This window comes from Homo sapiens, chromosome 3, assembly GCF_000001405.40.
Source record: "Homo sapiens chromosome 3, GRCh38.p14 Primary Assembly".
NCBI lineage: Eukaryota > Metazoa > Chordata > Mammalia > Primates > Hominidae > Homo > Homo sapiens.
Window position 1 is genome coordinate 14,404,082 of NC_000003.12, and position 12,840 is coordinate 14,416,921.

A 12,840-nucleotide genomic window follows, 5' to 3' on the forward strand; every position below is an offset into this window, starting at 1 on the left:
TGGCGCATGGCTCCATTTGGACTTCACTAAATTGGCCCCCGCTTTGGCACAGCTGACGTTCAAGTAAATGTCACTGAGGAGATCTTTTTAAAATTTCTTTTTAATTTTTTGTTGGCTAGAAGGGAGGGGATCTTGTCCAGAGTCTCCTAGCCAGAAGGAGTTTATTTTTATGAGAGAGAGAGCGGGTGAGTGCTTAGCAACCACCTGCCTCCCTCTCGACCAGGGAGTCACCCAGGGATTGTGGGGTGGGCATGAGGAGGTGGGGTGGGGGAGGAATTTCATCAAGATGGTGTTGGAGAGGATCCAAAGGGGGCCTAGCACGGCTAAGAACCCCCAACAGGGTGGGACTGGTAGAATGGTGGGAGGTGTTAGGCCTGGCTCAGCCCCCAGTTGACCTTGGGCAACCCTTTTTCTGCCTCAGTTTCCTTACCTGTAAAATGGGTGGGGCAGACTGGTTATAGAGTAAACCAGGGACCAGAGGTAGGAGCTTGTCCCCAGGGAACTGATTTAAGTCCTATGCTTTGTTTTAATGGGTGGGTGACCTTGGTTGATTCCCTTGGTTTCTTTGAGCCTCGGCTTGGCTGCCTGGGCAGCAAGGACACCAGTGCCGGCCTCACTACGTCCTTGAGGGGATTGAGGGAGATGAGGCTGAATAAGCTTGTAGTAAGCTGTAAAGCCGGGCTCGGCTGTAGAGCTGCTGATTAGAGGGTGTCACGAGGTCCTGGGTCACTGTGGTGTATGGCAAGGGCCAAGGTGCATTCTGGAGGCTTTGTCCTTTGGGGACACCCTTGTACTAACCCATGGCTCAGCTGCAATCATCCTCCCCTGCCTCCTTCCCGTCACCTCAACCTGTGGTGATTGGACCACATCTGCTTTTCAGAGTCTGGAGGCCTGGTGAGCAGTACCCATTTTATAGATGGACAAACTGAGAGCCACCTAAGGGACTTTGCCTTGACTGGACAAAATTAAGTTTCAAAAGGTTTTCCCTAGCTCAGCTGTGAGTTTTGGCCCCATGGGGCTTTGGTCACTGATATCCTCGGGAGTTGAAATTGAACCGGGGCCTGGGGAAAATGAGGAACAAAGGTGTCCCAGTCCTTAGGGCAGGAAAGTGAGCCTATGGGACCCATTTGCACCTTGCTTCTGTCCCTAGTTACTCATTCTCCCTTCCTTGTGCCTTCCCCTGAGCCCTGCTACCCATTCTGCTGCAGGGGTCAGCCCTCCACAAGGCAGTCCGGGCTCTGGGGACTCTGTTTTCTAACCTGAACTTGTCCGCCTGTCAGTTTGTCAAAGGATTTGGGAGGTGTACTTCTCTGAAAGTCTTTCCAAAAGTCCTGAATGATAAGAAACTTGTGAGTCATTGAACACATTCCCGTATATAGAAAAAGCTGAGAAGTAAATTATAAGGGCTCCCCAGAATGCAGCTTAGCTGCAGCCAGAGGGGGTCTGCCTGGGAATTGGGGTTGGCCTGAAATCCCAGGGCCACCCTGGCAGGTACATGCTGATTCCCCACTTCTGCAGAAGGTCATGAGCAAGAGTCAGATTCTTTGGGGCTGCATCTCATTTTCCTGTGTTTGCCAACTTGGCCAGAGCGTTCGTTTGAATTTATGGGTTCTGGGCAGGAGCTGTGGATCTGGAAATGCCTAAGGAAGCCTTCAAGTGAGAATGAGAGCGCTTTTTTAATGTGCTTCATTTAGTTGATTAATAGACCTTGGTTAAGGTCAGCTCTGGGCTGGCACTGGGTTCAAGGTAGAGTGTTGGCTTTCTAGGAGCTCCTGTCCCAGAGGTAGAAGCATGTGGTAACTGCAATGGCCATTACCATCCGTAGGATACAGTGAAGAAGACCCAAGGAGCAGCTGAGTGTGCAGTGAGGGTGGGGTAGTGGGCAGGAGGCACTTTCGCTTCCTAGAGGACACAGTGTCGGAGTTGCCATTGTCTGTGGGTGGAGAAACAGGATGGGCTGGCATTCTCCACAGGGGGCAGAGTAGCCACAAGGGCACAGTGGCGTGAAATAGCCAAGCATGTTTGTAGAACAGGTTCCCCGGGTCCTAGCTGGAGAGAGGAATAGGAGCCAGATGGTGGGGAGGGGGGCGTTTTATTTTTTCACATATAAAAATAGAGACAGGGTCTTACTATGTTGCCCAGGATGGTCTCAAGCTCCTGGGCTCAGGCAATCTTCTCGCCTCAGCCTCCCAAGTGTTGATTATAGGTGTGAGCCACCGTGCCAGCCGGAGGGCCTTGAATGCTGTGTAAGTGGGTTTGGGCTTTCTCCTGATGGCAGCAGGAGTCATACTGGGTTTAAGGATAGTGGGGCAGAAGCCAGTCAAGCCTGGAGCCCAGGAGAACCCTGATGGTGAGTAAGGAACGGAACTGGGGTCCAGGAGACGGAGAGTCACCGAGCCACTAAGCATTTTCTGTACCAATGAGTCTTGCCCTGAACTCTTTCTGTAAACATGGGGGTGAAGGCCTGGACATGCTATTTAACCGGTACACAGGCCATTAACTTGCTGGCTTTGACCTCCCTGGAGCACACAGCCCTAGTGTCTCTAGGTGAGTTATGCCAGTCCTGGACAGGTCTGCGGAGTTTCCTTTCCTGCCTTACCTGGTCAGAGGCTTCATTTGGAAACCTGGGCAGAGGCTGATGCCAAGGGTGGGAGTTAGGGTTACGAGAGGGAAAGCAGAGAGAGTGAGGAATTGCTGTTCTGTTTCTAAAGCTCCAGCGTTGTGTGGCCAACCACCCTTCTCTTGGAAAAACCAACATACAAATAATAAACCACCTGAAACAAAAGAGTGGGGAGGGAATGATGGGGGAGGCAGGTGGGCTGCCCTAACTGTGGTCAGGTATCAGAATTGCCTGGGATACTTAAAAACAAACAAACAAACATATTCAGACTCCCAGGCCCAGCCTGGACATACTGAATCAGAACCTCCAGGGGGATGGAGCCTGGGAATCTGTATTTTTAAAGTTTTTCTTGTGGTTTTTTTTTTTGAGACAGGGTCTGACTTCGTTGCCCAGGCTGGAGTGCAGTGGTGCCATCACAGTTCACTGCAGCCTCGATCTCCTGGGCTCAAGTGATCCTCCCACCTCAGCCTTCCAAGTAGCTGGGACTACAGGCATGCACCACCACTCCAGGCTAATTTTTGTATTTTTTGTACGGAGGAGGTTTCACCATGTTGCCTGGGCTGGTCTTGAACTCCTGAGCTCAAGCGATCCTCCCACCTTAGATGATTTTTAAAAAATGTTTTTTAAATTGAGTTATGATTTACATGCAGTAATATGCAAAGATTCTGTTACGGTTTGATGAGTTTTGACAAATGTATACACCTGTGTAACCACCACCCAAATCAAGATATAGAACATTTCCAGCACCTCAGAAAGTTGTCTTGTGCTCCTCACCTCACAAGACAGCCACTTTCTCCGTTTTCTTTTTCTTTTTTTTTTTTTTTGAGACAGAGTCTTATTCTGTTTCCCAGGCTGGAGTGCAGTGGCATGATCTCTACTGCAGCCTCGACCTCCCCAGTCTCAGATGATCCTCCCACCTCACTTCCCAAGTAGCTGGGACTACAGGCGCACGCCACCACACCTGGCTAGTTTCTTTTGTATTTCTTGTAGAGACAGGGTTTTGCTGTGTTGCCAGGCTGGTGTCAAACTACTAGGCTTAAACGATCCACCCTTGCGGGCCTCCCAGAGTGCTGGGATTACAGGCATGCCCCACCATACCAGGCCCACTTTCTGATTTCTGTCACCATAAATTAGTTTTGCCAGTCTAAATCCTCATATAAATGGACTTATTTAGTGTATACTCTTTTGTCCATTTTTTTCTGCCTCACATTGCTGGGATCCATCTGTGCTGTTGAGTATATCAGGAGTTGATTTTTTTTTTTATCGCTGAGTAGTCTCCCATTGTATGGATGTTCCACAATGCGTTCATCCATGCTGTTGATGGACATTTGGGTTGTTTCCAGCTGGGGGGCAGCTATTACTAATAAAGCTTCTATGTGCATATTTCTGTACAAGTGTTTTTGTGGACATATATTTTCCTTTCTCTAGGACTAGAGCTGCTGGGTTATAAGGTAGTAGATATGTGTTAACTTTTTGAGAAACTGGTAAACCATTCACTTTTAATTATAAAAGTAATATACCTCAAGCAATACGAAACTGCATAAACTAAAAAGTGATCCTTTCGGATCATTATAAAAAAGTACAATCTGATCTTCAGTCTGTCCACCTGCCTGATTGACAGTCTATCATATCTCTTTCTTTTTTTTTTTTTGAGACAGAGTCTTGCTCTGTCACCCAGGCTGGAGTGCAGTGGCTTGACCTCAGCTCACTGCAACCTCCGCCTCCCAGGTTCAAGCGATTCTCCTGCCTCAGCCTTCTGAGTAGCTGGGACTACCGGCACGTGCCATTATGCCTGGCTAATTTTTGTATTTTTAGTAGAGACAGGGTTTCACCATGTTGGCCAGGCTGGTCTCTAACTCCTGACCTCAAGTGATCCGCCTGCCTTGGCCTTCGAAAATGCTGGGCAGTCTATCATATCTCTTTTTAATATAAGGTTATACATTTCCCTCTGCATACAGCTTAAACTTTATCCAGGTGTGCATATGGACATAGACTCCTTTTTGTTACTTACTGGATCAGTTTTCACTTGAGTTTTGATTTCCTCTTTGATCCAGGCATTATTTGGGATCTGTTTGGAAGCTAGCTGTAGTTTTGTTTTGTTTTTTTTTTGTTTGTTTGTTTTTGGGACGGAGTCTCGCTCTGTCGCCCAGGCTGGAGTGCAGTGGCGTGATCTCAGCTCACTGCAAGCTCCGCCTCCTGGGTTCAGGCCATTCTCCTGCCTCAGCCTCCCAAGTAGCTGGGACTACAGGCACCCGCTACCACGCCCAGCTAATTTTTTTTGTATTTTTAGTAGAGACAGAGTTTCACCATGTTAGCCAGGATGGTCTCGATCTCCTGACCTGGTGATCTGCCCGCCTCGGCCTCCCAAAGTGCTGGGATTACTGGCGTGAGCCACCACGCCTGGCCAGTTTTGTTTTGTTTTGAACAAAAATGACATGGTACTGTTCTTGGTTCTGCCACTTGGTCTATCCCAATAGCAGGCCATGTGGACTGCATGTCAGAACACACGGATCTGCCAGGCCATTCCAAACAGCCAGCCTGCATTTGGGAGCCACTGACTTTGCGTGTCCTGTCTGATCACCCCCAGTGCTGCCAGCTCAGTAAATGAAATACCCCCACCCAGGACTTGCCCCGGAGGGTGCAGAGGAGCCGGCTGAGCCGATTCAGCATTCTGAGAAGGGAAGGAACTCATATTTATTGAGCATCCACGGTGCTTTATCCCCCTTCCTGTCTCAGAGATGAGTTCATCAGAAAAATGGGTGGCCCCAGCCCACACTCAGCTAGGAAAGGGTGGAAGGAGCGCTGGACCCAGAGTCCACCGGATGCCTCAGCCCATCCTCGTCCCACTGACCGCACGGCAAACGTTCATGAGTGCCTACTGTGTGCCAGGCACAGGGCCAGGGCCAAGAGGGCAGGGAGGAATACACAGCACCTGTGCTCAAGGAGGGAGGGGAGATCCCTATCAGGAGGAGGTTAGTGAACAGTCTAAGATGGTTTATGCCAAGGCAGGCCAAGGATCCAGTCTGGGAACGCCGCCTCAGGTCTGAGGGAGAGCAGCCCCAGGCTGTGGAGTGTGGGGACTTTGGGGTTGTGGGATCATCCAGTTAACCTTCTCTGCCCACCCACTTTATGGATGAGGACGCTGAGGCCCAAAGGAGGCACTTATCAACACAGGAAGATAAAGCCATCAAAAGAGCCATTGTTGGCCAGGCACACTGGCTCACGTCTGTAATCCCAGCACTTTGGGAGGCCCAGGCGGGCGGATCACGAGGTCAGGAGTTCGAGACCAGCCTGGCCAATATGGTGAAACCCCATTTCTACTAAAAATACAAAAATTAGTCAGGTGCAGTGGTGGGCACCTGTAATCCCAGCTGCTTGGGAGGCTGAGGCAGGAGAATCACTTGGGCAGAGGTTGCAGTGAGCCAACATCTCGCTACTGCCCTCCATCCTATGCGACAGAGTGAGACTCCATCTCAAAAAAAAAAAAAAAAAAAAAGCCATTGTTCACAGATGTGGCTCCCTGTGCTCCCCCCTCCCAGCCGCACCCATCATTCATTGCTTGTGTGAACCCCCCCTTGACAGGGAGGGATTTAAGGAAAGGGTTAATGCCTCCACCTCAAACCTTCGGTGATATTGTTCATGACTCTCACATCCTGGTTTTGTCACAAGTCACTGGAAAGTGGGTGGGAGGGCAAAACTGTATCAATTGCAAAGACTCCTTACAGTTTGGCTGCTCAGGAGACACCCCCAGAGCCCAGGATGGGGTTCCTGGAAAGCTCAAGAAGGAGCGTGGTGAGCAGCTCTGGCCACTGCATGGAATAGAACGTGGAAGGTAGGGAGAGGGCTGGTGGTCTCCAGGAGAAGGGTTGGGCTGGCAATGGAAGGCTTCCTCCCTCAGCAGGTATCTGAGCAGGCCTAGGCTGGAAGGCAGAGGGCTGAGCCCTCAGGGTTCTGCTCACATCGGGTCCTTGCCGACCCAGAGGCTCAGGACCACTTCTCTGCGTGGTCCCTCCTCATGCTGGGGTGCCCTGAGAGGCTCTTCCTTTCCAGGACTTTTCTTTGCACATAAATGCCAAGTGACTCACTGTCATGTTCCAGTGGAAAGTCCTTAACCCAAGGCTGCCAGTTGCTTGGTTGGAGGTGGAGGAGTGTGGTTGGCCAGCGATTTCAGCAGAGTCATGCTTACTGAGTGAAGGGTGCCGGAAGGGGGAGGTCCTAAGGGACATCCTCTCTTGCCCCAAGGCTAGTCAGCACCATGAGGGAAGACTCAGGTCATGATTTCAAGGACATTCATTCCTTCAGAGATGACACCTGGTGTTTCCTCTGCAGGTGGACATCACACCAGCCCAAGACAACAGCCTCCTCACTAGCCTCTGTGCCTCCTGGATACCTCTCTGTACCATCTGGGGACCAGCTCTCTGCATGTCACTCTCTTGCTCAAAAGCCTTCAGTGGTGGCTCCCTAGTGCTTTGTGAAATCAAGTCCAACCTCCTTAGCCTGGCATTGGAGGCCCTTCACGATCTGGCTCTTGGCCAGCGTTCACGCTCACCTACCACAACTTCTTTCCTTGTTTGTAGTCTGGCTGGTTTCTGCTCCTAGCTAGACCAAGCGTCCAGCTCTCTCAGCCCTGCCCATGCTGGTCCCTCAGCCCGCAAGGCCCTTCCTCCCATCACTCCTTATTCCCACTCTTAAGGGGCGAGCTTGGAGCTGCCTGCTCTGGGAAGCATTCCTTGAGCCTCTTAACAGTGCCTGGCACGTAGTAAGCACTCAAAAAAGATGACGTGAGTTAAAGTGGACTTCAGCTCGCCCTGCTCTGAGCCTTGTGGTCCTTTCCTCTGGCCTGAGCTCGGACCTTTATGGTCTTACCTTATACCCATGCACTTGACTGGGGACACATCAAGGGGAGGGATGGATGCTCCAGCATCCAGCCTAGGGGTGTGGCACACAGTTGTTGCTCAACATACAAATCAAGAGAGCCTAATTCCTTCTACTCTGAAATGGGAACCTATGGTTTGAACATCTGAGTGGCTCCAGGCTTGGAAATTATATTCACCTGTCACCATCCATCAATCCATCCATCCATCTCACAAATATTCACTTGTTCCAGGCCCTGTCCTAGGCCCTGGGGATGTGGCTGGTGAACAAGACAGACCAAACTGTACCCTCATGGAGCTGTCTGTCTGGCAGGGCTATGGACGTCAGACAAAAGATTACACATGCATGGCTAATGCCCTTTTAAAATCAAAGGCCCTGCATCAGGCACTGCAACACCAGGCTTAGAATACCCCTGTCCTCTGGCTTGCTCTGTGACCTAAGTGAGTCCTTTCTCCTCCCTGGCCCTGTAAGGGGTGGCCCAGATAGGTTTTGTGTTTAAGGGAAATACCTTCTGAATAAAGGGAGGAAAGACCATTCTATCCATTGTGGAAGCGCGTGCCACCACACGGGGTGCTGTTCCTGCGGGACTCCTTTAAGGATGCAGTCATCCTCTTGGTGGTTTTTCAAGATGTCCTAGCCCTGGCTCTGAAAGGAGGTGTCCCGATTTGGGGACAGGAGTTCCAGAGTTACTCTGAGCAGAGCTGTAGCAACAGGCTTTTAGTAAAGAACGTTGCCTCGAGGAACAATAATGTGGATTCCTCTTCTGCCACTGGTAGAATATCAATTAGAACAGACTTTTAAAAAAAGAAAAGCAAAAACTCGTCCAGGTGTGGTGGCTCACGCCTGTAATCCCAGTATTTTGGGAGACTGAGGCAGGTGGATTGCTTGAGCTCAGGAGTTCGAGACCAGCCTGGGCAACATGGCAAAACCCCATCTCTAAAAAAATGCAAAAATTCGCCGGGTGTGGTGGCACGCACCTGTAGTCCCAGCTATTTGGGAGGATGAGCCTGGTAGGCAGAGATTGTACTGAGCTGAGATCGTGCCACCGCACTCCAGCCTGGGTGACAACAGTGAGACAGCAGGCCTAAGTGGGGCCTGGGGCCCTGAATTTCTAACCAAATCCCAGGCACTGTGGACGGTGCTGGTCTGGGGACCACTCTTTGAGTCAAGGAGATAAATAGTGCAGTTGTGAGCCTCCTATACATTAAAAGCCAGATCCTGTGCTTCGTCAACTCCTCTTCTTAATCCTCACCAAAGACACCACTATTCCCATTTTGCACATGAAGACCCGAGGCCCTGCTGAGGGCAGGTAACTTGCCCAAGGTCACACAGCTGGGAGCCTGCCGGCATTCGTGCTGGGCCAGCGCCACCTTGGAAAGGTTGCTGTTGGGGAAGCCTTTCACTACTGAACAGTGTCCTCGCTCCAAAAGCCACAGGAGGCTTTTCAAGGCAGCCAAGTCGGATGTAAATCAGGGGAGAGCCCAGGGCTAGCCAGGCTGCTGACAGCAGGGCGGCCTGGGTCACTGTGTCCGGACAAGGCCCACAGCGGGATTTGGGGCTGGCATGATGCCTGGGAGTGGGGGAGCCACTGGGGATGCTCTGGGCGCCTGGAAAACCAGCCTGGAGCCTGCTGGAGCCCAAGGAAGCACCTTAGCCTCTGACAGCCTCCCCCATTATTTAAATACATTCCAGGGAACACAGCTGGCTGGAAGGGGCAGTGATGGGACCACAGGAGCTGGGACCTGCTGCTTCCGTTGTTTAAAGGCTGGTTCATCCCTGCAGCCACGCAGGCATTCTCCGTAATCGCCGTCTGCTTTGAGGACAGAGAGGTCGTGGTCTTCTGCTGGCTGGGGCTTTATTTTTGCACTGAGCACCTGTCCTCAGCAAACTGGGAAAAGTAGAACACGTAGTGACTCTGAGTCCTCAAAATGCTGTCCCTGGCCCAGCAGTATGGGCATCACGTGGGAGCCTGCAGAATGCAGAACCTCAGGCCCCACCCCAGACCTTCTCATTTAGACCTTGGGGGCAGGGCTCCGCATTCTGGGTTTTCAAGAGCCCTCCAGGCAATTCTGCTTTGTATTTAACTTTGGGAAGGGCTGATGACCTCTCTGGCTGTGTGCCTGGGGCCGGGGGTGGGGCTGGGGGAAGGGTCAGGCCTAATCCTTGCCCGTGATAACTAGAGTGCCAGGGCTGCGGGAACCTCAGGTGTTCTGTCATCTGCATCCTTCCTCTTTTTTATAATGGGAGGAGTGTGTCAGAGACATGCATAAAATTACGCAGCAAGTTCAAGGCAGGGTATAGGTCTGGATTCTTATCTTGCAAATGGCAGAAATCAGTTCAAACAGACTTCAGTTTTATTTTTTTTATTTATTTATTTTTGAGATGAGTCTTTCTGTGTCTCCCAGGCATGAGTCACCACACCCGGCCTAAACTGACATTAAAAATAAAAAAGAACATTTACTGACTCTTTTAACTTAAAAGCCTGGGGCCATACTTCAGCCTGGGGCTGAGTCCAGGTGCTGAAAGATGTCATCGGGACTCAGTTTCCTTCTCTCTGTCTCCCGGCTCCGGGTCTCTCTATGCCTGCTTCATTCTCCATGGATGCCCTAGCTGCTCACCAGTGTAGTGCCGCCCCCTGCCCCAATGTAGCCATCTCAACCAAGAAAGAGCCTTGTTTTTCCCCAATATTTTTGGCAAAAGTCCTAGTCATCACTGTTTTTGACCAGGCTGGTCAAGTGCCTATCTTTGAGCCAATCAAGACAGCCCCCTCTGATTGGCTAGGGCTGGCTCACGTGCCCACCTAGGAGGAGGAGGTGGGGTCAGTCCATCTAGACCCCTTGGGCTGAGAGCAGGCCTATGTGGGTCTCCTCCTGGAACAGGTTTAAGCTGTCCCCAGAAGGGGCATGGGTGCCAGCAGGCTAGACATATGGACTTTAGTGCTATTCTTTTTTTTTTCTTTTTTTTTAAGAGACAGGGTCTCACTCTGTCACCCTGGCTGGACTGCAGTGGTACGATCACTGCTCGCTGCAACCTCAAACTTCTGGGCTCAAGCAGTCCTCCCACCTCAGCCTCCCAAGTGGGTGGGACTACAGGCATGTGCCACCATACCCAGCTAATTTTTAAATTTTATTTTTTTGTAGAGACAGGTCTCCCTGTGTTGCTCAGGTTGGTCTTGAACTCTTGGGCTCATGAGCCTTCTGCCTCAGCCTCCAAGAGTGCTGGGATTGCAGACATGAGCACACCTAGCCTTTAGTGCCATTCTTATCCTCCTCTCTGAGATGGGCTGGCCTCTTGTAATTGGTAAGGTTTTGCCCTATGCAGAATTATGCTGTCCTTCCTCTGATTCTCTTAACCTCGTGCTTTAAACAGGCTGCCTTCATCTTTCACTTTATCCCACTTCCCTGTGTATGGTCTAGGATAGCAAGGTTTACGTTGCTACTTCCACCACCCAAACCCACAGCAGACATCACTAATCCAGCCCAGACTTCACAGAGCCTAGAATGAAGCCTTGATGGCCTCTCATGTGCCCAGCCTCTAGCCGGTGGTTCCAGGCCTCATGAGCTCAGGGACCTTGGCTCTGTCATCCACTGCTGAGCTTCATGTGCCCAGTGCAGTGCCTGGCACAGTAAGTGCACCATAAGTTGTTGACTGACTGTTCCTACTCCACAGTGCCTTGTACCCAGTGGGTGCCAGTGTGAGCCTGTTGAATGTGGAGGCCCTAACAAAGCAATGAGATCATCTAATTTGGGGGACAGGGAGCTCTGTAGGCTGCCGGGACTGGCATTTACTGACACTGGCAAGTGCGCCTCTGGGTCTGGGAAGGAGGCTGCCAGGGCAGGGCTACAGCTACAGCAAGGAAAGGGGTCCTGGAGGCCTCTGTCTGCTCTCCCAGACCCACCCTCCCATGCCCTCTCCCCCTGAGACACCCACTGCCCATTTCTGCTGATCCCAGTTTAACAGTTCATTGAAAATATCTCATTTGAGAAGAAATGATTTCCTGACTTTGTACACTTAGATTCCAGGAATCCAGGAGAGCCTTCCAGCCTCAGGGCAAGGAGCTTTGCTGGTAGGAGGAGGTGATCTGCCCCCAGCTGCCTATTTCCCAAACTGAGCTTCTACTGAAAAAGACAACAGAACCCCCCCGCTCCAAAAAAAGTCTTCTGGGTTAGTCACGTCCGGGACTGCTTGGCTCAGCAAAGCTCAGCAGATTTCCTAGGCACAGTGATTCTCGCCCCTGAACTGGTTGGTGAATACCACATCCCCCAAGGATCTTCTCTGAGGCCCCTCACTCTGGCCCTGGTGTGTCCCTGCGCCCCTTGGGAATAGTCAGGCTATGTGACTGAGCTGGTGGGGCGCTCAGGAGTGTGGGCTTTCTGTGGCTAGGGCTGTGGAACAGCTTACCCATTTGCAGCTGAAACCTTGTTCCCCTCTGACCAAGGGCAATGTGATGGTTCTTGCTGCTGACTAAGTTTTGGGGACCCTGCATCCAAGAGAGGGGCGTGTGTGAGTGAGTGGGAGTGCATGTGTGAGTGTGTGTCCCATGTGGGTCTGTGTGTGGCTGTGAACATGTGTGTGGCTGACACAGGCAAGTGTGTGGGGCTGGGAGTCTGCATATGATTACACTTGTGTCTGTGCGTCTGCATGTGAGCTTGTGTTGGCATGTGTGAGTATGCATGTGTGAGCCTCAGCGTCCTGGCCTTCCAAGGGGTTTGGTCAGCCCCTCCCCAGCACACACGTCTGGTGGTTACAAGTGGGTGGACAATTAGGGGCCCTGTGCACAGTCTGCCTCTGACCAGATCTCTTTCTTCCGTCTTCGCTTCCTCTCTTTGCAATAGATCCAGAACCAGAACCACAGCCCTTCTGAGGAGCTCCCAAACGTAAGTGACCTTGGACCTCCAGGTGGGATGGGTGTCTCACACGTTGTGCAGTGACCCAAGGTGGGGGGCTCAGGAGCTCCGTGTCTCCCCCAGGCTCTAGGAGGACAAGACGGGACCCCTGAGGCCCACAGACCTTGTCCACACCTCACCTCCAGGTGGCAGATCCCCTGGCCTGGCTTGGCCACTCTGTGCCTGCTTGGTCCCCAGCCAGTCTGTGCCAGAGGGCACAGGGACGCCCTGCAAATGGGCCAAGCACTGGTTTTGGAGATCCAGCCTGTGCCCTGTCCTGGCTCTGCTGCAGAGTAGCCTGGGGCAAGTCTGCCGTGGGGAGGATGCCCTCACTGAGTTGATTCTGAGGATTGGGGTCTGAGCTTGGCTCTGTCTCTGTTAAAGGTTTGTTTTTGTTTTGAGACAGGGTCACACTCTGTCGCCTACGCTGGGGTGCAGTGGTGTCATCAGGGCTCACTG

The 12,840-nt window shown here is 51.7% G+C and overlaps 1 protein-coding gene across 4 annotated transcripts in view, besides 4 other annotated features; it reads left to right on the forward strand.

Annotated features, from left to right (window-relative positions):
• Nucleotides 1-12,840, forward strand: part of SLC6A6 (solute carrier family 6 member 6) — an 86,774-nt gene that overhangs the window by 1,506 nt on the left and 72,428 nt on the right. For all 4 annotated transcript variants that reach the window (NR_103507.3, NM_001134367.3, NM_003043.6 and 1 more), the window contains exon 2: nucleotides 12,331-12,372. Coding sequence is in view for 1 of the 4 variants with exons in the window: in NM_001134367.3 (NP_001127839.2) it covers nucleotides 12,331-12,372 (42 nt within the window). In the remaining 3 variants the exon portion in view is untranslated. The remainder of the gene's footprint in view (nucleotides 1-12,330; nucleotides 12,373-12,840) is intronic.
• Nucleotides 2,123-2,293: a silencer, noted in NCBI's record as "fragment chr3:14447712-14447882 (GRCh37/hg19 assembly coordinates)". NCBI's record gives its function as "represses an EF-1alpha promoter that drives an FKBP-Casp9 reporter gene in an ReSE screen in HepG2 liver carcinoma cells {active_cell/tissue: HepG2}" and the evidence as "EXISTENCE:reporter gene assay evidence [ECO:0000049][PMID:32094911]".
• Nucleotides 6,231-7,430: an enhancer, noted in NCBI's record as "MED14-independent group 3 enhancer chr3:14451820-14453019 (GRCh37/hg19 assembly coordinates)". NCBI's record gives its function as "activates an origin of replication core promoter dependent on BRD2, BRD4, P300/CBP and CDK7 cofactors, and independent of MED14, by STARR-seq in HCT116 cells {active_cell/tissue: HCT116}" and the evidence as "EXISTENCE:reporter gene assay evidence [ECO:0000049][PMID:35650434]".
• Nucleotides 6,879-7,068: an enhancer, noted in NCBI's record as "active region_19509". NCBI's record gives its function as "activates an Ori minimal core promoter by ATAC-STARR-seq in GM12878 lymphoblastoid cells {active_cell/tissue: GM12878}" and the evidence as "EXISTENCE:reporter gene assay evidence [ECO:0000049][PMID:35858748]".
• Nucleotides 9,649-9,748: a silencer, noted in NCBI's record as "silent region_14094". NCBI's record gives its function as "represses an Ori minimal core promoter by ATAC-STARR-seq in GM12878 lymphoblastoid cells {active_cell/tissue: GM12878}" and the evidence as "EXISTENCE:reporter gene assay evidence [ECO:0000049][PMID:35858748]".